The following is a 26747-nucleotide window of genomic DNA, read 5'->3' as shown; positions in this document are numbered from 1 at the left end:
ATTTGCATACCATAGAATTCATTGCTATGAAAAGTTTTACAGTACCATTTTATAATTACATGTGATTTTCAAGACACAGGAAAATAAAGAAATGGTATGCTTAGAATTTGGAAGAAAGTCTAGTTATGTTTTCATTTTATTTTTATTTTTTTGAGACAGGGTCTCACCCTGTCACCCAGGCTGGAGTGTAGTGGCATGATCATGGCTCACTGCAGCCTTGACCTGCTGGGCTCCAGCAATCCTACTGCCTCAGCCTCCTGAGTAGCTGGGACTACACGCATGAGCCATCATGCCTGGGTAAGTTTTTTTTTTTGTAGAGACAAGGTCTCACTATGCTGCCCAGGCTGGTCTCAAACTCCTGGGATCAAGCAATCCTCCTGCCTTGGCCTCCCAAAGTGCTGGGATTATAGGCATGAGCCACTGCACCCAGCCGCTGTACTGATTTTAAATACTTTTTAAGTGAAATGAGATTTTATAACATTTGAAGAACTTAAAATGTTTGACAGGATTAATAAATTTGAATGAAGCATTGAAATAATTACTATACTAATGAATACACTAAGGAAATTTGAAAACCACAAATAAGCAGTTACAAATAAGTATTATTATTTATAAAATAGTCACCCTAGAAGATGATGCAGTGATGGTGTCATAGCTTAAAATGCTCTTGGAGGTCTTCATTTTACATTGATTTCAGACAGCCTGTGTCTAGTTCTTCTAAGCGTCTTTGGTGCTAGCAAATCTTCCATGACATAAGCTTTGATTTTCTGAATCTTCAAAAGTCTTTTGGTGTTAACTTACTTGGTGGGTGTTAAAACAAGATAATTCTATTTTTGATTTTTTTTTTTATTTACTTTTTAGAAGCAGAGTCTCCCTCTGTCACCCTGACCGGAGTGCAGTGATGCAATAATAACTCACTGCAGCCTTGAACTCTTGGACTTAAGCGATCCCCCTACCTCAGCTTCCTGAGGTATTGTTCAGGCTAGTCTCCAACTCCTGGACTCAAGTGATCCTTCCACCTTCACCTTCCACAGTGGTGGAATTACAGGCATGGGCTACCACCCCCAGCCTATTTTTGATTTAGAAAAAAGACAACATTGATTTTTCACATATAGTTTACAAGTTGGCCCTAGAAGTATTTACAGATGATGAGTTCTAGAAATATTTTGAGCAATGGTAGCATTGTTGGAAGAAGTACAGTGTCTTAAGCTGACAATTTTGACATTGATTCTTTCCTCCCACTAGTTATGGAGCTTCTTTAAATCTATAAAAAGCCATTTCACTATATAAGAATTGGTATCATATTTTGTGCACTTATAGATTCATGCGTACCATACATGCATGCTTATAAATATCATTCCACTGACCAAAGTGTGTTATTATTTTGTAGCCCTTTGTAGCCAGCTCTATGTTTTAAGTGCCTGATAAATTCTACTGTAGAGTGAATTTTTTCTATTCTAAGTAAAATTTTGGAGCCTGAGAAGGCTTCTAAAGGCAAAGGATATCAAGAAAAGTTTTAACTAAGATGTGAGACTGCATGAGTGCTTCATGATACGAAATGGTTTTATATATAGGTCTTAGATAAGAAATTAGAGAGGTTGACAGATAACCTACCTAGTCTGTTTTTTTAGTTGAGCAAATCTGTGTGTGGGGGGCATAAACAAATACTAGTGACATTAGAAATCAGAAAGCTAGTGAAGTACAAATTTGTGCACATAACACTGTTTGTGGGACAGCCTTATTCATACTGGTCTTTGACAAAAGTCAAAGGAAAAAGTAGTTGCCAAAGAGGAATATGACTTTTTTTTTTGTACTTTAGGGTTTGTTTTTGAATTTCAGCAAGTTATGGTTTGAGGTAATACTAATCAGTTTTTTTATGTTGACTTTTTGGTTATCAATTAAGAAAAGCATTAGTGCTTTGGAAAAATCTGTGTTGTTGAACTTCTTCCAATTTGTATACAACCTCTTCTCCACAGCGTAAAATGCAAATTTTGCATGGGGTCAGGTGCGGTGGCTCACGCCTATAGTCCCAGCACTTTGGGAGGCAGAGGCGAGTAGGTCACTTGAAGTCAGGAGTTCGGGACCAGCCTGGCCAACATGGTGAAACCCCATCTCTACTAAAAATACAAAAATTAGTCGGGCGTGGTGGCATGCGCCTGTAATCTCAGCTACTTTGGGGGCTGAGGCAGGAGACTTGCTTGAACTTGGGAGGTGGAGGTTGCAGCGAGCCGAGATTGCGCCACTGTACTCCAGCCTGGGCGACAGAGGGAGACTCCATCTCAAAAAAAAAAAAAAAAAAAAAAAATCTTTTGCATGGAATCTGCAGATCTAGGAATCATTTTATTGTTAAAAATATAACTAGCAATTTTGAAAATTCAGTCTGCTTTGTGAAGTCAGACTCTAGAAAATTTATAGATTTTTTTGGTGGGGGGAATGAGAGTTCGGGAAATAAAAAGAAATGAAATAAATTTGACTCCAGGAAAGCTAATTTTACATTTGTTTCTTCATTCCTCCCTGGGGCTCTCTGAAACTCTGGAATTTTCTCATTTAAAAGAAAGCTAGAACAACCTGTGTTGGACATACAGGTTGAGCCTCTGGTATTTGAAATGCTTGGGACCAAAATTCAGATTTATTCAGATTTTGGAATATTTACATTTACATAATGGGGTATCTCAGGGACAGGACCTAAGTCTAAACATGAAATTCATTAATTTTTCTTATATATTTTATACACATAGCCTGGAAGTAATTTTGTATATTTTTACATTTTATGCCTGAATTAAAGTTTGTGTACGTGGACATCAGAAAGCAATGGTGTCAGGTGTGGAATTTTCCACTTAGGACATGTTGGTACTCAAAAAGTGTGGGATTTTAGAGCATTTTATGATTTTTGGATTTAGGATGCTCAGCCTGTAAACTTGAGGGTCAAACTTTTCTTGTGTTAGTTGAAATCTCCTGGGTGCTTTCTTTTAACCAAATCCCAAAGTCTTTTTTATAACTAATATGCTAGATTTCCTACATTGTTTTATGAAGGTAGAGAGGGTCCTTAGCAGGCCTTGTTTTCAGGTGTAAAGTTCTGCTGGACCAAAACCTGAGGGCGTAATTAACAGTGTCTTTGGAGGGACTGTTTGTGCTGTCTTCATGGACCATTTGGCTCATAAGATGGGATTTGGTTCATAATTCATTGTCATGTACTGTAACTCCTGTGGGAGTATAACGTCTAGCTGTTTTGCATTGGATAGGTTCTGAATGCTTTATCTTGTTCCAGGGTGGATTATTATACTCAAGAATGCACTTAATTACAAGCTTTATGTTTCCAGCACCCATTCACAATACCTCCTCTTCACTACACCTGACTTCATCGATGGAATTTCATTTGTAGATTGACTTGGGAGATGGAAGCTGTCAGACTTGAAGTCTGCCTCCTTTTTTTGGTGCCTTCTCTTTACTTTGATATTTTGAACCTTTCTAACTTAAAATTTGTTTTTAGGTTAATTTTCTCAGCAAAAGAAATTTATGTTTGATAAGATACTAAGGGAAAAGGCAGCATTTATTAATATTGGATGTTTCCTAATTAGAATATCTTAAGAGTTTGAATTTTGTTGTGTTTTCATAAGCTACTGCATCATAGGTTTCATTGTCTTTGAACAGAGACTTAGAAAAGGGATGCTTTGGAATATTTCTTGTTTCAGTCTTTTGAGATTGAACACACAGGTTTCTTACAGGATTTGTTTTTTATGTATTTATGTAACCTGTCTCTCCAGTTTCCTGAATTCATGCTTCATATGAGCTTAATCATACTTTATTTTAAATAATCAACTGTTTACACATCTACCGCACATGCTGCTCCGTAGATTCTCAGGTGTATCTTTATGGTCTTTTCATTTTTCTGTCTTTATCAAGGAATAAATGATCCTAACTGGATCATGATTTACTTGTGGATTTATTCAATAGTTTTGTGTTTTAGTTTTTAAAGCCTTGCTCAATGGTTATGGTTTGGGGATATCTTGATATATCTCGGACAAGCTTTTAATTGTCAAAATTAAGTTATACTACCTTGTATATTTTAGTCTTAGAATTTAATGTTCTATTCCTGATTGAAAAACCTGTGACTAGCACTTCAAAATTTCCTAAACGTGTTTGGTCAATTCTTTTTTCCTTTTTAACCAAATGAATTTTATAAAGTCAACTTCCTTAATTTGTAATGTAGGCTCAGTGAAAGCTTCAGGGTTGTTGCCCGCCGCCCCCCCCCCCCCGCCCCGAGAAATCTTCAGAGAGATGTTTAAACAAATCAAAATATACTTAAAGTGTAAAAAAGGTAATTTGATGTGGCAAGTTTTAAATAAATAAAAAAAATAAACGCACACACTCCATAACCTTTCTTTGAGTCTTGGTTTAAGTTCTCTGTCATATAGTGCCAAAAACTTTGTTTTGAGCTGCGTGTGTGTTGAAACATGTATGCCTGTCCTAGTGTCATAACTAATTATATCTCTTATATGCTTACTTCTAGTAATTGGAAAGTAGACCTACCGCAGCATACATCTTCACATTTAGTTTTATCTTGAGGACCTGCTACAGAGATCATTTTCTACCATGCAGCAACTTGACATTGTGAACAGATATTACTATTTTAAATATATTATCTACTTTGTGTTTTGCAGAAATAGTGTACTTTCAGGGAAGTTAAGTTTCGGGTGTTTCCAAAGCACATCTGTCTTTACCAGTAATTATACACTAATACTGCCTTTGCAGTTTTGACTGAGATATTTCATCTGTGAATTGGAAATTGATGGCCTAGTGCTGTGATAGCAAAATTTTATAGGATTTCTTTTTACTCAAAGTTTTCAAAAGATTGTGGCTGATGGAAAACCTGCTGGTGCTTTGGTCACTTACTCTTCATGGATTGGTCTAAAATAATTTGGGGCTTCTTTTGTAAAAGTGTATTGTAGAATTTTCACAAACTTAGAAATCCTGTCTTAGATATGCTTATGACTGGGGCCGCAAACTGTTTCTCATATGCACCAGCTTGTATGAAAATATGTGGTCCTTGTCCATGCCTGCTGAAAGAGAAACCCTACCAGTCTTCAGTTTCTGAGCTGCAGCCTTGTCGAAATTAAAGTCTTAGGACTGGGAGCAGTTAATGCTGGTGATAGATTGTGGTATTTAGCGCTGTGCTGTGTTGCGTGGTGGACTTACACGATTCTAGTCAGAACTTGGGAAAGAATATACCACAGAATTGGTGACAAATATTTTTCAAAGAGAAATACGATGACTTTTCTTATTAATGAGCAGACCTTTTGGGCTTTGCTTAAGGAAATAGTGAAAAGATTGTACAGTTCTGTTATTGATAATGGTTTAGAATTTAACACTGAAAATGCTGGATTTTCTTTCCTCTTATTAAGTTAATGTATTACTTTGAAGCATCTTTTCTTTTTTTACAGTTAGAAATTCACCAAAACTATATTTCAAACGTAGCTCTTTTTAATTTTATACTAAATTAATTTTTTTTTTTTTTTTTGAGACGGTGTCTCGCTCTGTCTCCCACGTTGGAGTGCAGTGGCGCGATCTGGGGTCAGTGCAAGCTCCGTCTCCTGGGTTCACGCCATTCTCCTGCGTCAGCCTCCGGACTGCAGGTGCCCGCCACCGCGGCCAGCTAATTTTTTTGTATTTTTAGTAGAGACGGGGTTTCACCGTGTTAGCCAGGATGGTCTCAATCTCCTGACCTCCTGATCCGCCCGTCTCGGCCTCCCAAAGTGCTGGGATTACAGGCGTGAGCCACCGCGCCCGGGCCACTAAATTAGTTTTTATAAATTCTGCATTGTTTCTGTCATATGGTAACTTAAGTATGCAGAGGCATTGAACTTGAACATTTTGTGTTCTGGAACGTGGGGTTTGGATTCTTGGTATAATTTTCCTATTTTATTTTTATTTTATTTTGAGACGGAGTCTTGCTTTGTCGCCCAGGCTGGAGTGCAGAGGTGCGATCTCGGCTCACTGCAAGCTCCGCCTCTCAAGTTCACGCCATTCTCCTGCCTCGGCCTCCCAAGTAGCTGGGACTACAGGCCCACGCCGCTACACCCGGCTAATTTTTTGTATTTTTAGTAGAGATGGGGTTTCACTGTGTTAGCCAGGATGGTCTCGATCTCCTGACCTTGTGATCCGCCCGCCTTGGCCTCCCAAATTGCTGGGATTACAGGTGTGAGCCACCGCGCCCGGCCAATTTTCCTATTTTGAAAACCCAACTACCGTGGTTTCTTTCTAATGCGTATATTATGACTTGTAGCATTTGAAAAGCTCCATGGTCTAGGCCATGTGACTTCTGAGGACTGTAACTGTAAAAAAGCTGGTGTTGAATAATTAAAAACTCCCTCCATTTTAAAAAAATGCCCATTTCTCTTAGAATTTTTATGGTGTCAGTCAAATTAATGCAGGTATGTTTGGTTTTAAGAATAACATGATAGAAATCCGAATTTACACTGATAGGCTGCCTAAGAGAAAGTTATTTCAAAACATGGGGCATCCTGGCAGTGCCTGGGAAGGTTGGCCCCCAGCCCGACTGATAGGAACTTCCTACTCATCAGTTCGCTGTGAAGTACTGACAGGTGGAGGGGGTTTAGGCTTCTTTGGGTTCTGAACCTGGTGATGCTACTACCTACACAGTGTTTGGAAATCTTGGGCGATGTTTTGTTTGTCACAAATGACTCAACTGGGGGGCTGCCTCCTGCTATTTAGTGGGTCAGGGACACTGCAGCATCAGGATTGCAGAACAATTTACATACAGTGATGAGTTGTTCTGCCCCAAATACCAATAATACCTTTCCCAGAAATGACTGGATAGTTATTGATATAAAAAAATGAAAAATGGCTGGGTGCGGTGGCGCATGCCTGTAATCCCAGCACTTTGGCCAAGGCAGGTGGATCACCTGAGGTAAGGAGTCCGAGACCAGCCTGGCCAACATGGTGAAAACCCGTCTCTACTAAAAATACAAAAATTAGCCGGGCGTGGTGGCGGGTGCCTGTAGTCCCAGCTACTCGGGAGGCTGAGGCAGGAAGAATCGCTTGAACCTGGTAGGCGGAGGTTGCAGTGAGCCGAGATCTCGCCACTGCACTCCAGCCTGGGTGACAGAGCGAGACTCCGTCTCAAAAAAAAAAAAAAAAAAAAAAGAAAAGAAAAATATTCGTAAAAATACTACTCTTGCTCCCCATCCCTAGAATTACCACCTGACATCTTTTTTTTTTAAAGGAATGTTGATTTTTTTTAAGGTGTGTACTTGATTGAACACTGAATTCTACTTCTTAACGTTTTTAAGTAAACATGATTTGTAAAGGCATATGGATATTTTATGCAGTTGGTATATTAATAGTATTTAGTCGTAAGCCCCCAACTCAAACCCAGATATACCCGTTTTTGCAAACACCCATCAGATTTTGTGTCAGTGTTTGGTAAACTAGCACTTAAAATGTGTGTTGAAACTCCTGTCTGTAATTTTTTTTTGTAACGTAAAAAAAAAAACTTATGAGAAATTGCTAAACTCTTATAAGATTTATTATTATTATTTTTGTAGAGATGGTGACTCACTATGTTGCCCAGGCTGGTCTTGAACTCCTAGCCTTGAGCTATCCTCGTGCTTCGTAGGTGTGAGCAACCGTGTCTGGCCAAAAGATTTTTAAATGAACAACAACAACAACAAAAAACCTAAGAGTAAAAACCAGAATTTGATAAAAACAGATATTTCACATACTCGTTGCATCCTCATGGCATTATCAGTTCTGGCATTTTGACTTGGAAGAAAAATTCTAACATGAATTTCTGCTTGAATTCTAACATGAATTCTGCTTGTTTTCAAATACTATTCAATTGGGAGTAACTGTTTGATGAAAAGCGTAGTACCTAAACCTCTTCTCCTTCCACACACATTTGTAGTCTTACATGGTAAACCTAAAGTAGCTCAGAAACATTTACTAAAACCCATTTACTTGGTAATAGATTTTTCATTTATAAAAAAGGAGCTTAAGAATATGTAGGCTGGGCATGGTGGCTCACGCCTGTAATCCCAGTACTTCAGGAGGCCAAGGCGGGTGGATCACTTGAGGTCAGGAGTTGGAGACCAGCCTGGCCAACATGGCAAAACCCTGTCTCTACTAAAAATACAGAAATTAGCTGGGTGTGGTAGTGTGCACCTGTAATCCCAGCTACTCTGAGGCTGAGGCAGTGGAGGCTGAGGCTTGAGCCCGGGAGGCGGAGCTTGCAGTAAGCTGAGATTTTTGCCACTGCACTCCAGCCTAGGCGACAGAGCAAGACTCCGTCTCACACACAAAAAAGGAATGTATCTTAGTGTACACCTTTCGAACGACCATAAATGACATCTCAGTACTATCTAGTACAAACAGAATTATAACCCTGCCCTTTTTAAAGAGTATTGGCTTTGGAGTTGTAAAGACCTGAATTTGAATACTGATTCTGCTACTGAATATGGTAGAATCTTGGGCAAATTCATCTATCTCTCCATCAGTCAATTATCTATCTATCAAATCTATTTTTAATTATAGTAAAAAACAGATAAGATTTACCCTCAACTTTTTAAAGTGTACAGTTCAGTAATGTTAAATATATTCATATTGTTGTTTCATTAAAAAACTTTGAATTTTGAAATAAGTTCAGGCCTTCACTTGAGGTTATGAGTTTGACTCCAGCCTGGCCAACATGGCGAAACTGCGTCTCTACTAAAAATACAAAAATTAGTTGGGTGTGGTGGTGCACACCTGTAATCCCAGCTACTTGGGAGGCTGATGCAGGAGAATTGCTTGAACCCAAGAGACAGAGATTGCAGTGAGCCGAGATGGCACTGCAGCAAGACTGCACAGAGTGAAGGAGACTCCAAAAAACAAAGTAAAACAAAACAAAAATAAAATAAGTTCAGGCTTACACAAGAGTCAGAAAAAAAAAATACAATGAATTCCTATATATCCTTTAACCAGATTTCCCAAATGTTAATGTTTGCCATGATTGTTCAGTTTTTAAAATGGAGATAAAATTCACCATTTTCAAGTGTATAGTCACTGGTTTTTAGTATACTCACAAGGCTGTGGAACCATCAACACTATTTAGTTCTAGAACGCTTTCGTCACTCCACAGAGAAACTCTATCCTCAACAGTAAATCCTCCATTCTCCCTCCCCAGCCCTTAGCATCTTTTACTTTTTGACCCACTGTTTTCTATAAAATAGGTATAATAATATTTATGCTGGAGTGTTTCTGAGATGACATATGTGAAAATTCCTAGCATGGTATCTGTGTAATGCAAGTGCCAAACACCCATTCGTTTCTTTTTCCTATCACAGAAACAGAAAGTATCATACTTATATCTACATGAACTATTTTGGAAATTCTAATGCCAGCATCTTTTCTAAGTGAATTTCTCTTACTAGTTTGGTAGGTCAACAGTTTGCAAGATACTAAAAATCATAGTGGAGGTTCATATGTTAAAATAACATAAGGCAAAGCAGCTTCAAAACTCCAAAAAATATGTGCATTAAATAATGTCTTGCAGGCCGGGTGTGTGGCTCACGCCTGTAATACCAGCACTTTGGGAGGCCGAGGCAGGTGGATCATCTGAGGTCAGGAGTTCGAGACCAGCCTGACCAAAAGTGGTGAAACCCTGTCTCTACTAAAAATAGAAAATTAGATGGACGTGGTAGTGCATGCCTGTAATCCCAGCTACTTGGGAGGCTGAGGCAGGAGAATCACTTGAACTCGGGAGGTGGAGGTTGCAGTAAGCTGAGATTGTGCCATTGCACTCCAGCCTGGGCAACAAGAGTGAAACTCTGTCTCAAAAAAAAAAAACAAATTTGATAATAATGTCTTGCAGACATAGGCTTCGGAAATACATCTTTTGCAATGGGCAGTCATCATGCATGCAGCTCTTTTCATGGATTAATCTTTTATTTTGAAGTATTTTATCTTTTTTTTCACGTTTTAAGTGTTTAAACATTTTCAAACTTTGTATTTTTGATTTTATAAGAAGGCATGGTGAATACCACAGTGCAGTGAAACCACTCAAGGATCATAAGGGTTCCATTGTTAACTTAAATGACCCACACAGACCTTATGCCCTGGTTTGATTAGCTTTTGATGATATGATGGTTTGATTATGGACATACAGTTTAGCCAGGATATCTACATTTTGAGGAATAATTAGTTACAGTTCTGATGGCCTCACAACATTTTTACAAATGTTTTCTAAGTATTTATAGTGTAGTGGAAGTAGCATAGGCAGTGTAGGTATAGAAAGCGTCGGAGTCCTGAGTTTGAATCCCAACTATGCTGTGGGAAGTTTGACAAGGGACAGAATTTCTTTAAGCCTGGATTTCCTCATTTTTAAATATGGAGGGTAATAACTGTCATTGCTTAGGGTTGGAATGAGAATTCAATAAGACATAGTTTGGGTAAGGATCAGCACAGTGCCTGACAAACAAAAACTCATTAAAACGGTGGATATCTTTCAGATTTGCTTATGTGTTGTTTAAAGAAAGGACTCTTTTGCCCATTAATTTGTGACCTTTTTATCTGCCTAGAACATTGCCCATGAGGTCATTTCTGCCCGTGAAGTAGAGAACTACAGTGTTCAAATGTGGAATCGGAAGAACAACGAAAATACTAATTACCCTAGCTGAGAGGTTATAGTGGTGGAACTGGTGGGATTTCAGTCAAAAAAGCTGATTTTGTTAGATACAATATTATCTACAGTTAGGCCTGTTTATTGTGGAGTGGCCAAAATATGTTATGGTATTTAAAGAGTAGTGAAGATATTTTCCAATCTGAGTGCATACATGTGGTAACCCTTCTCTGATGAGCAGTTGTAGGCTCATTTGACATTAGAACTGCTGAAATAACTATGATTGAAATGTTTATTTGGTGTCAGGTTTATAAACATTGTACTTGGTTTCTGTGGCAGGTAACAAGCATAGGAATACCAATTTTACCCAGTCCCTTGACCTGGTAATTCTTTTTTGCTTTTGGTATATCTTACCATCTAAGTTCTTGAGTCTTAGTGACAAAACTGTATAGTGTTTGTCACAGATGTGCGTATTTGGAAAGGCATACAACCACTGCAGTATTTTTGCCATCATGACATTAAAGGAAAAACACTTGTGATAGGGTGAATAAATACTTCTGAGCAGAAGCAAAGGTCAAGCTTTAGAGTGAACTTTTGAGTGACAGCTAGTGGCTTAAGGGGGAGACGCCATGTTAACTATGGGCATTCATTAACTGCGTGGATATGAAATGGCAGTAAGTTCTCTCCCCTTTTATGCCAGGGGCATTGGATTCTGTAAAAGCAAAAGGGAGAGGAGCGTATGTGGCTGCCAAAATGAGATGGTAAGAAGTTAAATGATCAGGACACAGAGAAATTAAGGAATAGTAAGGTTTAGTGGGTATGTGATAAACATTGCAGATAGGCTCTGTGGTATGGACCAGAAGGCACAAGGTCTGGATTTTTTTCTAACCCAGACTCTGTCACTGACTGCCTGTTTGATCTTTGTAACTTCTTTGGTACTTCTTTAGACCTCCTTATCTGAAGTTAAAGATGTAAAACAGTAAAGATGTAAAGAGTAAGTTAAAGATGGAAAACAGGTTTCAACTCTTATCAATATTGATAGATTGGTAAAGGCTATTGAGAAGAGAATCCTGCAGCTGTGTCTTGCTTGGGTCATTGGAAGGAGTTCTGGGATTAGTTTAGCAGTTTCTGGTGACTGTCATGGGGTGGTGGTGGGTGTGTGCTTGCAGGCATGCATGTTTGTACGTAGGTACATGCACCACACCGCATTGGTTGACTAATCATTTGTAAAAATCCTTTTCAATTCAGTCTATATATTGGAAATTACGTTTTTCTTGGCTGTAAGGTTGAGAGGATCTTCTAATCAGCCTTTAATTTTTCTGACTGAAAGCCAGTGTACTTCTAGTTTTGGGAGAGAATTACGTGCTATAGAGCTGGATGCCTAATAGGCATATAGTGATGGCGCCTAAGAAGGAATGAAATCGTTGGTCCGAGAGCTAGAGAGTGCGCAGCGTGCTTTAGACTTGCATGGGGTTCTCTTCTAACCTGCATATCTGTGTGAGTCAAACATAGTAGGTCCTTTCAGATAGGTAATCATCTAATGAGCCACAGTTAATTAAATGTTTATCATTGCTTAATATTTGGTATAGGGCATTTTATTTCTATTCTAGGATAGCTTTCAAAACTAGTAATTTGGGCAGTATTTTAGTACTACATAGAAGGAAGACTGGTACAAAATGGGTGATGGCGTGTAACTTTTACCGTATTGATACATAGCATAATATAAACATGGCATTAAAAGATGCATAGCCTTAGCAACGAGTGCTAGTTATGATTGGTTGAGCAGTATTGAAAGCAACTAAGATTACTTTCAGATATGTATATTATATACAAACTGTTGCAGAATTATTGCTTCACTTTTAAGGAAAAGAATCCTTAAGTTTCTAGTGTCTTTTATCTGAGAAAATTATCCAGAATTGTTAACAGTTTAATCCACTATGTTGGAAACTCTGTTAGAAACTTTTATGTATCAGCTCTTTCTGCAAGGAGGAATTATTAAGAGCTAACTTCTGTTAGCTCACCTCTACTGACTAGTGAAATTAGTAGTTTTCTTTCACGTGTGTTCCTTAAGAAACTGTATGTAGCAACCACATTTGTGGCACACATAGACCAATACAATAGCCTTTTTGTATTTCTTTGTATCTTTCTCAAGTACTATTAATGTTGTCCTTACTGTGGGTCAGGAGTCATGTTTTACTCATGTTGGAATCACCCAACCTAGCATAAGCCACGCATACAATAAGTACACTATAAATAATGTTGAATCCATAGTTGAAATACAATTTTACCTAAGAGCAACTGTGAGCTACCAGGTGAAGATCATGTCTACTTTGAAGTCTAAGTTGGGGAATCTGAAAACACTGGATTTACCATTATGCAGTTCATATGTGGTAGTGTGATGTGATTCTGTGGTGATCAGTTTTTACAGTGACATCCACAGAACTAAAACATTTGAGGTAACAACTCGCATTTCTTTTTTTTAACACGGAGTTTCGCTCTTGTTGTCCAGGCTGGAGTGCAATGGAGTGCTCTTGGCTCACTGCAACCTCCGCTTCTGGGGTTCAAGCGATTCTCCTGCCTCAGCCTCCCGAGTAGCTGGAATTATAGGCATGCGCCACCACACCCAGCTGATTTTGTATTTTTTCTTTTTAGTAGAGATGGGGTTTCTCCATGTTGGCCAGGCTGATCTTGAACTCCTGACCTCAGGTGATCCGCCCGCCTTGGCCTCCCAAAGTGCTGGGATTGCAGGTGTGAGCCACCATGCCTGGCCTGCTTTGTTTTTCCTGTAAAAGTCTATCTAGAATTAAACTGTCAGTATGTATTTGTACATGGAAAAAAATTCCAAAGAAACATTTTTGGTTAAAAATATGTGGTAGGTTGAAACTTGTGTACAGTGTAAATATCGCATTATGTATGCCTTATTTAAGTAGACCTAAATACCTGGTAGCCTGAGCCATCAGACTTGCATAGCTCCAAAGGGCAGTAGTGATCTTGTTAGGGTTTGGCATCTGAATGATCTGGTTGCCTTTTCCTTTTGGCGTTTTTATACCAGGTATCATAAAATACAGAAAGCAGAGCAAAAGTGAAAGAGTAGAAACCCTTTGTTTTTTTTTTTAGACAGAGTTTCACTCTTGTTGCCCAAGCTGGAGTGCAATGGTATGATCTCGGCTCACTGCAACCTCCACCTCCTGGAAACCCTGAGCTTTTTAAATGTTGAGGCAGAGTTGATAGTAATAGAAAAGCAGTAGCTTAGGAGCCCTAAGACCAGGCTAATTTGATAGCTCTGAAGTTAGGGCTCCTCATCTTTGAAATGGTTCAAGAATACCTGTCTTATATACCTTCAGAGGATCACAGTGTGATAACATGTTTGAAAGTACTTCAGATAATTCTGAGGTTTTATTTATCTCATTCTACAAATATAATTTGAGAACCTCCTCTTCACCAGACATCGACTTCGAGGCTGGAGATGGAAGAACTTGGCAGTCTACCAAGGACTTCCCAGTCTGGTAGAATTATGGTTTTCTTTCTTTTTTCTTTTCGGGATGGAGTCTCGCACTGTCGCCCAGGCTGGAGTGCAGTGGCGCGACCTCAGCTCTCTGCAACCTCTGCCTGCAAGGTTCAAGTGATTCTCCTGCCTCAGCGTCCTGAGTAGCTGGGATTACAGGCGCCTGCCACCACGCTCGGCTAATTTTTGTATTTTTAGTAGAGACGGGATTTCACTATGTTGGCCAGGCTGGTCTCGAATGCCTGACCTGGTGATCCACCTGCCTTGGCCTCCCAAAGTGCTGGGATTACAGGCATGAGCCACCAAGCCTGGCCAGAATTATGGTTTTCTAAGATTATGTTTCATAGTGTTTCAGGTTTATATTACTGAGATCTTTGTTGTGGGTCCATTTTTTGGGTTCAAAAACATGAAAAGATAGCATTTTGAAAGTGTTTTGTTACTTCTCTATGCTTATAAAAATTTGACTCTTAGAACTTACCTATGTAGTCCCCCACCTGAGATACCAGGACAGTGGGGAGAGAATTTATGATGTGGTAAATTTTTTTTTTGGCAGAGCCAAAATATTGTAACATATGTTGAACCAGGTGTGTAAGTTGAATACCTTTTAGACATGTAGTTGTCACTGTTAATATAAGTGGCCTGCTATCACTCAATGCTGTGGACAGCCCAAGGGCCTTTTCTGAATCTTTTATAAGCAGGAAGTTTAATTTGCCTATATATTTTTCTTTCTTTTTTATTTTTTTGAGGTTGGTTCTTCTACCAAAAACTGAAAAAAAAAGTATTATTAGATAATTTTTACTTTATGGGATTTGTTAGTCCCAGTCTTTGTAGCAATTTCACTTTAAAATTCGTGATTAGCAGAATGTCCTCTTCATTTCTGATGACTTTCTGTGGTGAGGAGGGTTCACTTAGAACCTGGGACAAATGAGAGTTGGTTGAGTAGGATCAAACTTAATAAGAATCAAGGAGACATTAAATATATTCTTGAACTGGTTTTCTAGGATTCTTTTTTTTTTTTTTCTCCTGAAAGGAAGAGCTGGGCCAAAGTTTTAAAAATCAAGACAAACTAGAGGTTTCTTCACATTCATGGCCATATTATTGTTTGGGATTCTATTTAATTTTCATATACCCCTTTATGTTTCTAAGAATATGTTTCTGATGGTCTACTTTATATATGCATTCGTTTGACTCCAGCTATAGTAATAATTGATTATACCCTAAAAAAACGACCTCTGATTCTTCATTTAAATCAGAACAAATTGTTTTTGAAAGCAGCGCCATGAGAATTACCTTGAATGACCATAGACTTGGCCCACAAAGGAAAGGAAATTATGAAGAGGAGGAAGCCATGCCGTTGGTCTTCCCAAATCCTAATCTGGGAACCATTAGCAGGACCGTCTTGCTGTGAGGCACATTCATAGCGTGAGAGGCAATTTCTAAAACTGCTAAAATCAATCCCTGTAGGCCTTTAGAGATTAAACTCACTACCTCGTGTTATAACCAGATGAAAATAATTATGTACTGCAGCCTGCTGAGTGGGGTGAAATAGATTTCTAGTGCCAGGATTCTTAACTAGGTGGGATGGGTGCTGTGTTTTACTGAAGACTCCCTGCAGTTGAAAGATTTATCCTATTAGAGCAAGTCTCAAACTGGTAAGTCTGGGAAAAAACAATTCAACTTTAGACGCCAATTCTTCTAAAACCTCTTTAACTTAAATCTGTTTTTCTTGGCAAGAGAGTTAAACCTCATATTTAAAATAGGATACCAGAACTGTGCCTTGCACACAATAGTTTTCTGCTAGATAGATATTAAGTACACGATTTTTTATTTTTTCTGAAATGGGAGTCTTGCTCTGTTGCCCAGGCTGGAGTGCAGTGGCGCTATCTCTGCTCACTGCAACCTCCGCCTCCCAGGTTCAAGTGATTCTCCTTGCCTCAGTCTCCCAAGTAGCTGGGACTAAAGGCATGTGCCACCATGCCTGGCTAATTTTTTTGTATTTTTAGTAGGGACAGGGTTTCACCATGTTGGTCAGGCTGGCCTCGAACTCCTGACCTCAAATGATCTGCCTGCCTCGGCCTCCCAAAGTGCTGGGATTACAGGCATGAGCCACCATGCCTGGCCAAGTACACAATTTTTATAACCACAAATGCAGTGAGGTTTCCTTCTCTATCAAATAAGGATAATAATGGTACCTAACTCATGGGGTTGTAGTGGTGAGAATTAGATGAGTTTACTACATGTAAAATGATTATAAACATACTTAACAAAGAAAAATCAATGCTATTGATTGAAGATCAATCAGTTGTTAAAGTATTAAACTATTTTGACATGCAGAAAAGACGAATAATGTTTGCTATTATATGAAGTTGCTGTTCTTAACATCTCATCTGTATGAATTGTTTCTCTATTTGTGTGGAAGGACAGTGTTGATATTTGCACAACACTCTGTAACTCAGTTCTTCTTTTGAACAATTTGTGATACTAGAGGAATGAAGCCACTATAAGTGAATGAAACTCGCTGACTAGACTTTTCTTAAGTACCCGTGGATATCCATGACCGACTGGATCCCAGTGAACACTGAATTCTATGAAAGAATAGTAACTAGTCATACACAGGGGAGACTGCTGAAGATGTATTACCCTTTGTAGAATTATTAACATCTCACTTAAAAAAAAAAGCAAAACTAATATGCGGAGATGGGGGAATCTGTTTTCATACTGCACTATCTCTTAATCCATTTATTTAAAAACTCTTTGTTGAGTGCTTACTATATATAGGACAGACATTATACTAGACTCTGGGGATTCAGTGATAGAGAAAAAAGACTAAAAATCACTTACTTGTAGGGAGTTCACAAATGGGTGAGGAGACCGGTATTATTAGATAATCAGGCAAAAATGTAAAATGCTAATTGTGGAAGGCAAACATTGGCTTCAAGATGCATGTCTCCTGAGTACTCTAAGGAAGTAGCATTGTTTTCTTCTTTCTACAGAAGAGTGACTGGGCATAGAGAAGGTAGTGGATTTAGCTATGGTCAGGCAGCTGGTAATAGCAAGGTCTGACTTATAGTCTGACTCTAAGCCTGGTGCATTTTTTGCTTTTCTGCAACTGTCTGTCATTGCTACCAACACAGGGAAAGGAGGAGTATTAAGTGGCTACAGTTTTCAAAAGTATTGATCTGTTTTTGGAGTGTTTGAAATAAATGAACATTGACCCCAACAAGTGGATTTGGGGTTTGCTTCCAAAAATCTGTAACACTGAATTTTTTATTAGTATAGTTAAGAGTAGAAATTAAATACTACAAATATCAGAATTATTTTGCTTAAGGGATTTTTTTTTTGACTGGCCAGTGATGGTCAAAGTTTTTTTGAGCTTTGAGACCACTCTTCATTTTTCAGATAGAATATTACTCAGAATCCAAAAATACAAAGCAGTGACCACCAACTGGAGTTTGTGGGGTCAGAGAAGATTTCTCTGAAGGGTTGTTTGAGCTGAGATCTGAAGGATGCAGAGAAATTAACTAGGTTGTCTGAGGGCAAGGTAGAGGGTGCTGAGTATTGCAAAAGGACTGAAGGCCTGAGATTAGAGAGAGCTTGCTTGGGACATTGGAGGTGTGGACAGGCCATTGTAATTGGTTCCGAGAGAACCTAGTAGAGTAATGCTGGTGAGCTGGTATCAGACTGAAGGGAAGGAAGGGGCTAGGAGGCCATGTTAAGGACCAAGAGTTACTACTCTAAATGAAATGAGGAGGTTTTAAGCAGGGTTTGAGTTCACATGATTTTCTTGAAGGGCTTGCTTAGCCACCCGTCATTCCCTTTGGAGTGGTCTTCCTTCTGGAGTCAGGGACACCATTTGTCTTAAGTGCAGTAGTAATAATTCCTTATGGCAAGTGGCCAAATAACCAGCAATTCCCAGCATGTGAGGCCCCCATAATGGGCCTGCAAGGACAGTAACACTTGAAAAACATCAGAGAGAAAAAAAAATTGCTCTTTGCCCTTAGTGAAGTAAGGCTAAAGGAACCATAAAGGAATATAGTCAACCATTACTGCTCTGAGGCTAATGACCTCGAAGCTCTTGGCTTCCCAAGCTAGTTTTTTTTCTCTTCCTTCTTGGCATTTCATTGCTTGAGAAAACTGTTCCAGGAAATGGAAAAAGAATGGAGTTCAGACTCAAAGTGGGTCTTTACTTTTTGACGATCCTGGTAAAATGCTTACAGGGACAGAAGGTTGAAATTGTCAAGAAGAGTGTTTTTGGATTTGTTAATCTTGGTCCTCTTTGAAGGCAGAGTGCTTCTAAGAGAAGATCTTATTCATCGTCTGATGAATAGGTCAGTTGTCACTTGGGAGGAGGGAGCGAAATTGGTGGTGGCAAGAGAAGGGTGGATTTGTAGGAAGCATATCACTTTCCTGAGGGTTTTGTTCTAATTCTTCTCCAGATACAAATAAACGCAACATTGGGTGAATTGATTTACTTCTGTAAGACTGATTCCTGGACTGTAATAAGAAGGAATTTGGGTAGGGCGGGGGGGCTTACACCTGTAATCCCAGCACTTTGGGAGGTCAAGGCAGGCGGATCACCAGGTCAAGAGATTGAGACTATCCTGGCCAACATGGTGAAACCTCGTCTCTACTAAAAATAGAAAAATTAGCTGGTTATGGTGGTGCGTGCCTGTAGTCCCAGCTACTCGGCAGGCTGAGGCAGGAGAATCGCTTGAACCCAGTGGGCGGGGGTTGCAGTAAGCCGAGATCGCGCCACTGCACTCCGGCCTGGTGACAGAGCGAGACTCCATCTCAAAAAAAGAAAAAAAAAAGGAATTTGGATTCAGGGACTTTTCTCAGGTTTTGTTCAGCTCTTACCACTTTGTTCTCCTTCTACCTCTAAATGCTATATGGAAAAATATGTATTTTGGGAATTAACGTGCTGTATGTTTTGTCTTGAGGATTTCACAGACCCTTGAGAGAATATTCTGTGTTTATTATAGAACTTGGGTTCGGATTCGTTGATTCACTTGTTTTACAGTCAGGACACGAGTGGGGTGGAGGTCTTCAGAAATTAATGTCATCTATTGCCTACACTGATGACATGATAGTAAGCAGATCAAGTCTTGTAGCTATGTTCTTGAAAGGAACTCTTCTAGGCCTCTAAAACTGGGCAAAACATATTGTGTTCTCTGTTCTGTTTCACAGATTGCCTGGTTTTCTCTGGAATTCTGTGCTTCATGGCTTCTTTTCCCTTGATAACATGACACATGACTGATGACGTCAAAGAACCTTCTAGATTTTCTCTTCTACTGGTATTTAACTACATGTAATAGTTTCATATTTTTCCTTTGAAGACTACCTTGTAGTTTTAATAAGGGCGCATGAATGAAACCTACTAAATGGACCGTTGAAATATCCTACATCCAGGAAGCTGCATTGCAGTATTTTACTCATAGCCAGCTGGAATTCTAATAGATTGGCTTGCTGATTGTCCTATTAGTTTTTGTTTTGTTTTGCTTGAGGATTCAACTTTTCTGGCTTTCTTTAACTTCATAGTTATGGCTGGTCTGTAAACCTGTAGATAAGGTCAAAAAATTATGGGTAAACTCTTCAAAGTTTCCTAGATCTTGGTTGATAGGAGTGCAAATCTAATAGCCTGTGCATGTTATAACCATTGCCATTATTTGCTCAGTGGAGTAAAACAGAAAAGCATTAGGGAGAGTCTCTATGGAGCTTGATGCAATTGGTGTGACATTGTCTAAGAAAAGTTGGTGGCTTGAGGAACCATAACCCAGGAGCACTTGATTGAGTTTTTAAAACACACAGTAGATTAAGGACAGAAGTGTGTCGAGTTCAACCACCAAATCTGTTCATATGGGTATCTTATAACTCTTGGAACTTGAATACTTCCTATGCTGACTCCAGGTTTAATTTCATTCTAACCTTGTGATGCTGTTAATAACCAACATTGCACCACCCCCAAAAAGCCCAAAAAACAAACAAGAAAACCTCTCACTGAAAAACCATTATTTTGAATTTGACATGAGAGTCAACGCATTATTTGCCATTTTTCTCATAAAAGTTAGCTGCAAGTTCTGTTTAAGAAATTTTAAATAAGTAAATGTCACACAAGTGAATACAGATATATTCCAGTTCTTTGAATATACGTGAACTCTTTACTTATTGGTTGAATGCCAAGATCAAGGTGAATGAAAATGGTCATTGAAGCTCATCCATCTTTTAGACATTTGGCACTTCATTGTGCAAATGTGCACATTGATAATTTTGGCTTAAATGTTTGGCATTTTATTTGGAAATCTGTTAGCCCCTTTGAAGTCTTTTAATTTGGGAGTGGAGGTAGATTAGACTGGAATAATAATAAAGTAGGCTCTGCAAATAATTGCAAATACACAGATTATTTCTTTTTTGTAGGTTGCCAACAGATTTTATATATTGGACCTTGACACTGATTGTTTTAGGTTGTCTAACTTGTCAGGAAGTACAGTTTCTGTTACGAGGAAATAATGACGTTTTCGTTGAGAGGATGAAACATTTTCCACGACCATGAATCTGTTACTGGCTTCATTCAGCCAGCTGCCAGTGGAATCCAATTTCTAGAAGGCAGAAGCAGTGCCATTCACCCTTGCTATTCTTTCATTCCTCAAATTTTAAGTCTTTCAGCCTCCAAGAATCCTTAGGGTATTCCTCTGCCAGGTTAAATGTGTGAATTACAGAGTAAAGAGTAAGTTGAAGATTTCTTCCATTTCCTGCTCTCAAATAATAATTTTTCATGTTTTTCTTTTTTCTGTTTCCCTTTGGTGATCTACTTTCAGAATCTGAGTCACTAAATGAGTTTTATCAAAGGAGAAAAATGTACTTAGATACTTAGAAATGGAAACAAGATTTGTAAGTTGGCAATCACCTTGAATGAAAATACAGTTGGCCTTCTGTATCCATGGTTTCTGCGCCCGCAGATTCAACCAACCGTGGATCAAAAATAATGCGAAAAAATCCAGAAAATGTTACATCGTTGCTGATGTTTCAGTATAGAATATTTTCTTGTCATTACTGCCTACACAGTATAGTATATCAAATATTTACGTAGCATTTACATTGTATTAGTAATCTAGGGATGATTTCAAGTATAAGAGGATGTGTGTAGGTTATATGCAAATGCTACACCAATTTTTAAGGGATTTGAGCGTTCGAAGATTTTGCTATCCTCAGAGGGACCTGCAACCATTCCGTACCACCCTGATACTGAGGGACAGCTATACTAGGTGAATACTGCCTTGCCTTAGCCAAGCTGATAACTGTGTATGTTATAGAGATAATTGCCCTCCAATGCAGTTTTGTTTTTTGTTTATACCATGTTGGAAAACCGTTAGATATTTTATTGAAATATAATTGTGTGGAGTTTTTGAAAGAAAATATGGAATATGTTGTTTCAAAAGCTTTTCACATAGATTGTAAATTTCTTTACAGACCTTCTAGGCTTTTCACAGATATAAGCATTTATAGCAGAAATGTAGTGAATATTTTTATACATAGTCTCTAAAACTTAAGTAAGGCCCATTCTACAAATGATTGGAGTAGAAATAGGCATTAAAATGTGGTGGATTCATGCACAAGTAGGTGGTTTGTGTCCTATAGTGTGAATATAGTGTTTTCTATTTTCTTTAGGGGGGCATTTCTGTTCCCCTGGGGAAATAAACTTCCTATTTATTTTTCTTAAGTATTTTTAAGCTTGGTTACTTATTTTTTTAAGTAATCCCTGCCACTGTTTATATGTAGAACCCAAGTAGCATTTGTAGTTGAATTTTGTACATTAAAAATATTTTGATCAGCAAATATTTAACAAGTGCCTACTGTGCGTTAAGATGTTTGTAGAATTGCCGTTTTGTTTGTGAATGTTAGCACTGGGCATAGATCTAAATCCTCCTCTTTGCAAACACCCCTGAGAATAGGAACTAAGGTGAGAATGTGTTTTGGCCTATATCGTGTTTTCTAGTCATTTCTATGTATTTTATTAGAAAAATATTTTTAAAAAATGTTTTGGGTTAGGGAACCAACCCACTTGTCCAACTTGTGAAAGTCTGCGGAACACCACCACCATCAAAAAAGACAACATATTCGGATCAGGAATGTAATCACCCAGTCACCTAATAAAAAGAGTGCTTGAGTATGCATATGGAACAAAAAAGCAAAACCATTCATTTGGTAAAGGGTGAGTAGGGGCCAGGAGACAGCCCTACCCTGAAGATAGAATGCTTTAAAAACATGTTGCCATTAATATTTAAGACAGAAAGCGTTTTGAGCCCGCTCCTCTCTTCTACCCTTCCTCAGCATTCATGTTGTAGTTTGCTCCCTAATGCTCACAAGTCCGTGCCAGACGGAAATTCGCAGAGGCCGCTGCAGTCCCGCAGAGGCCACTCAGGGGAGGGACGCGGGCGGAACAGTCGCGCTCAGTCCTCCCAGGCCGCCCCAGGCCCCAGGTCCCCTGGTGCCTCGTGCCGGCTCCTGGCTCGCCTCCCTTCTGCTCTGCCCAGCCCACCCCGCCGCCCCCCTGCTCACACATGCGGCCTCTCCCCCGCGCCCCAGCCTCTGGAGTCGCTTCGGGGCCATCTAGTCATACGCTGTCCATCAGATGTGTTTACTTTTTTCCTGACAGCCGACACATCTGGAGCACATATTCAGGTTATTCCAGTGCCACTAGACACATTCCACAAGATCATTTCAGCGGTTGTTATGGCGATCTTCCTCCCTCCAGTGATTTTCAAGTTGCATGACAGAAATAGCTGGAGCTAACCAGGGGGACAAAAGTCAACGGGATCAGGAAGGGCTTCTTTCACAGAATGAACTAATTAGTGACCCTGCTTTCTTCACAGGGCAATGAGCATATGGTTTAATAAAGTGAGTCTGTGACACTTTTTTTTTCTCTGTAGGCAAAGCTGTCACTGGCTGAAAACTTTCCTGTTTTTACTGGTGGGACCGTAGTCTGCTGTCTTTCAACAGAGTTTACTTCACAAGTAGAAAATGTTTGCTCCTGAGAGTTAAGCTTCAGAACGTATTCTTGGCTTCATACTACCTAACTATAGCAGGTCCTGTAACTTAAAGAGACAGTATTAATTTTATATTCATTTCATGGGAAGGGTTTATGCTTACTCAAGACTAAGCATTTTCAGTTAGGGTTTTGTAAGTATTATGAATTGATACCTGGAAGTTCAGGTAAATATAATGTGTTGTTTGCTGTGGTTTTTCTATAAAATATAATCAGTATTTCTCACTGGATTAGTTACAAATTTATTTGAACCTGTGATTTTTTTTTGGGCACAGTTATAGAATATTTTGGTATTAAAAGATTTGATTAAGCTACTCCATTTTTATCACATTTTAAGTAGCATGCAGATGTCTGGTTATGTCTGTCAATTTTTTTCCTGAGGTACTTTTTACATTTTGTGTAGGATTTTGGATGACTTTATAGTGTGAACATATCATTGCAGACATGGAAATTTAGACCTGAGATCATTTAGTGTTAGTAGTAGAAATACTGCTTTCAGTTTATAATGGATATATAAGGTAATTCTATAAAGCACTGCCATCTTTGATCACTTTATGAAGAATACAGACATGCCTCAATAAATGTTTTTTGGATGAATGGGCATATCATATGGATTCAAACAAAATACATGTTGCCATTAATCATGAGTCTGAGATTTATAAATTATAGGGGCCCATTTTCTTTTTTGTTTTTGTATTCCTGTACTGTAATTCAGTCTTGAAAAATGTAGCCAGCTATACATGTTTCACACTTCTTCCCATATGTACCATGATACTCTTTTACACACGTGTGCACATAGAATCTCTTAATCTCCTTTTCTTGTTCTTTCACCAGTACTCACAAATTCCACTCCTTTGCACGCACCCCATTTTTAGGTTGAGACCCAATGCACTTAAGTCACCATGAACAACAAAGTTTATAGTTTTCCTTTTTGATCGAATTACTCATGTGTTGACTGAGTTCTCCGGATTCTAGGAATATGACAATGAGTGACAAGTAGGAGAATCAGAGCTGGACTCACCCAAGCAATTGTCTTCATCTTTCTCCATCAGTACAATACCTCTTTCCTCCACTCTCAGTCAAATTCCTGTTCAGTGGGTCCCACTGAGGCTGGTCGCAGCTGCTCTGGAGTACCTGCTCTCAGGAAGACTAGAAGAACACTGAAAGGTCACATAATTACATGTGAATTTAATTCACAGAGACCTGCTTGTCGCTTTTCCATGTGTTTCTCCTAGTTACACATTATTAACTGTGGTGCCTTGTAGGGCTTCAATTACTTGGGCAAATATGTATCGTGCAGAGACTGAGCACAAGTTAGAATGCTGAGAGTGGTTATAAAATTATGTTTTCCTCTCCAGATGTAACTTTACAGTAATTAAACCTAATGCAATGTAAGCATTATAGTCAGTGCTGTGGTAGCTATCTCCAAGTCTAATTGGTAACATCGCTTAAATCATAGCACTTATTGCTGGTTATCTGGGAACTGGAATAAACCAAAAAAGTTACATACATTAACCTTTGGTTTTTCTGCATCAGGTGAAGTGGATAGCTTGTCCCTTCATCAAAATCTGTCATCTGTATTATATGGAATTTTGATAGCATTTAGAAAATTTTTTTCTTATTTAGATAGCTCTGTGTATTCATCCATCCATCGATCATCCATCCATCCATCTATCCATCCATCATTTCATCTGTCTTTAGGCTATTTTCCATAGTTTGTTGCCCTGGATTTGGAGACTTGATCCAGCACAGAGCTATTGTCCACTTGGGTTATTGGGGTTTCCCTTTCTAAGTAGATGATCAAAATCCATGGTGAAAACATGCTTGCCTTCCATAAAGGGCTACTTGTTTACTATATTTCAGTCATTTTTCTGCCAAAAGTAAAAAGTAAAAGAGTCCAAAAGATAGAAAAGAATCTCAAGTTTAAAATTTTCTTTTGCATTTATTATACCCAAGAATATGGCAAGCAGCTTAATTTAATCAAGCAGCAAGAGTGCCAGACAGTTTTCCTGCATGTGAGAGCTAAATAAATAGTGGACCTCCGTATGGCAGTGATAATCGCAACTTAGAGGGTTTTCTCAGTTGTGAAATGTTTGTGTTAAGGATGACTTTTTTGTTGTTTTTGTTACAGTCTGACAGCTGAAGATGCTTTTAAAACCTTCTAGTTACTTAGAGCAGAGCTATATGGCACAGGCTTGGTGGTTCTAAAAGGCAGGTCCTATCCATCACAGAAACAGCAAGTCTCTGGGTTATGGGGGAAGATTGAGCGGGGGGGAGTGAAGTAAGGAGAAAGGGGGGCTGTTGTGTCCAGTTTACATTTGTCACCAGTGACTAGCTTTTAAAAAATGTGTTAGCTGTGCATGGTGGTAAGTAAGATCCAGCTGCAGGGGATTATGGCTTTGAGTGGGTCGGGGAGCTTGGAATGCATTCAGTTCCATCAGGGGATTTGTGTCCCTCGTCATCAGCCTTAACATTGCTAACACAGTAAAGATTAGGAACAGACCAGTGTCACCTGCCCTGAACTTTGAAAAACCCTGGAACCATTAAACAAAGGGGTTTGCTAGTTTAGAAAGTGTCCCTTCTCTCTGTCCAAAGTGTTTTTCAAATGACACATGCAAAAAAAAAATACAGTTATGCTCAGGTGAAAGACTGTCTGTGGTTGAACTATTTTCACAATTTAATGAACATGTCACAATCATAATTTCTAATGAAAAACACCTTCCACAAATAACGTTCAGTTAATGAACATTTTTGTGAAGTGATTTCCAAATCAAAATGAAGAGCCAGTAGTTAGGAGGGAATGTTTCTGAGCTTTAGTCTCACTCCATAGGAGAAAAAGATTTTGCTTGGTTTGGGTGACCCTCCCCTCCTCCTCCTCCCCAGGAAGAAAGTTAAGAGAACACCACAAAGGTTTACTTTTTTCAGGGATTTTGAAATTCAGCATACATGCCAGCAAGCAGTTTAGAGGCAGGAAGTCTTTTCTAGTAGTGCAGTCATGAACTGGTAAACTAGAAGCATCTGTAAAAATTTAGAGGGAATATCAGCTTTCTCAAAGCTCCAGCCCAAGTGTAATGAGGTGCAAATGATAGCACTGCATAACCCTTCCCCACCCCAATTGTGGAATGAGATATTGAGACAAAAATAAAGAGGAGAATAGGGATTTCAGAACTCTACTGTACTGAAATAAATTTTGATTTTCAGATGAAATGGCTTTTGGGTGACTAAGGATAGCCCCAACTTTGACGGTTGATGAGTAGAAAATAAATGATTTTCAGCTCAGCATCTCTAGGTACCATCTTTGAAAAGTGGTTGCATTTGGGCTGTGAGTGCATAAATGACATACCTCCTCATTCGGCTGAGTAAATTAACGAGAATTTTTAGTATAAAGTAAACTTCCACTGATTCGTATCTTTGGCAGGCACCTCTCTCTTTACAGAAAGAAAAAAAAAAGAGGGGTAAGAAAAAAGATGTGATTTGTTTGAAGGAACACATCTGGGGTGTGATCTGCTATATCTTAACACCAGATGGCAGGTTTAGGCTGACAACTAAACCCAGTTTAGCCTGGTCAAACCGTATCTTCGTAT

The 26747-nt window shown here is 38.9% G+C and overlaps 1 protein-coding gene across 28 annotated transcripts in view, besides 1 other annotated feature; it reads left to right on the top strand.

Annotated features, from left to right (window-relative positions):
- BNC2 (basonuclin zinc finger protein 2) overlaps positions 1-26747 on the top strand; it is a 461168-nt gene that overhangs the window by 19013 nt on the left and 415408 nt on the right. For 4 of the 28 annotated variants that reach the window (XM_047423486.1, XM_047423484.1, XM_047423482.1 and 1 more), the window contains exon 1: positions 6170-19414. The exons of 17 other annotated variants lie outside the window; for them this stretch is intronic. In XM_047423486.1, the coding sequence (XP_047279442.1) occupies positions 19370-19414 (45 nt within the window). In that variant the 5' untranslated portion in view covers positions 6170-19369. Of the gene's footprint in view, positions 1-6168; positions 19415-26747 lie in introns of those variants that run through there. 7 more of the 28 variants (XM_047423489.1, XM_047423510.1, XM_047423490.1 and 4 more) reach the window with 5 other exon arrangements.
- Positions 22611-22780: an enhancer, noted in NCBI's record as "experimental_107116 CRE fragment used in MPRA reporter constructs". NCBI's record gives its function as "activates a minimal promoter by MPRAs in K562 erythroleukemia cells, with activity observed for both the introgressed and non-introgressed 9:16828961 variant alleles {active_cell/tissue: K562}" and the evidence as "EXISTENCE:reporter gene assay evidence [ECO:0000049][PMID:34662402]".

Source organism: Homo sapiens, chromosome 9, assembly GCF_000001405.40.
Source record: "Homo sapiens chromosome 9, GRCh38.p14 Primary Assembly".
NCBI classification, from domain to species: domain Eukaryota; kingdom Metazoa; phylum Chordata; class Mammalia; order Primates; family Hominidae; genus Homo; species Homo sapiens.
The sequence above is the reverse complement of the archived record's forward strand: the minus strand, read 5'-3'. Positions and strand labels throughout refer to the sequence as shown.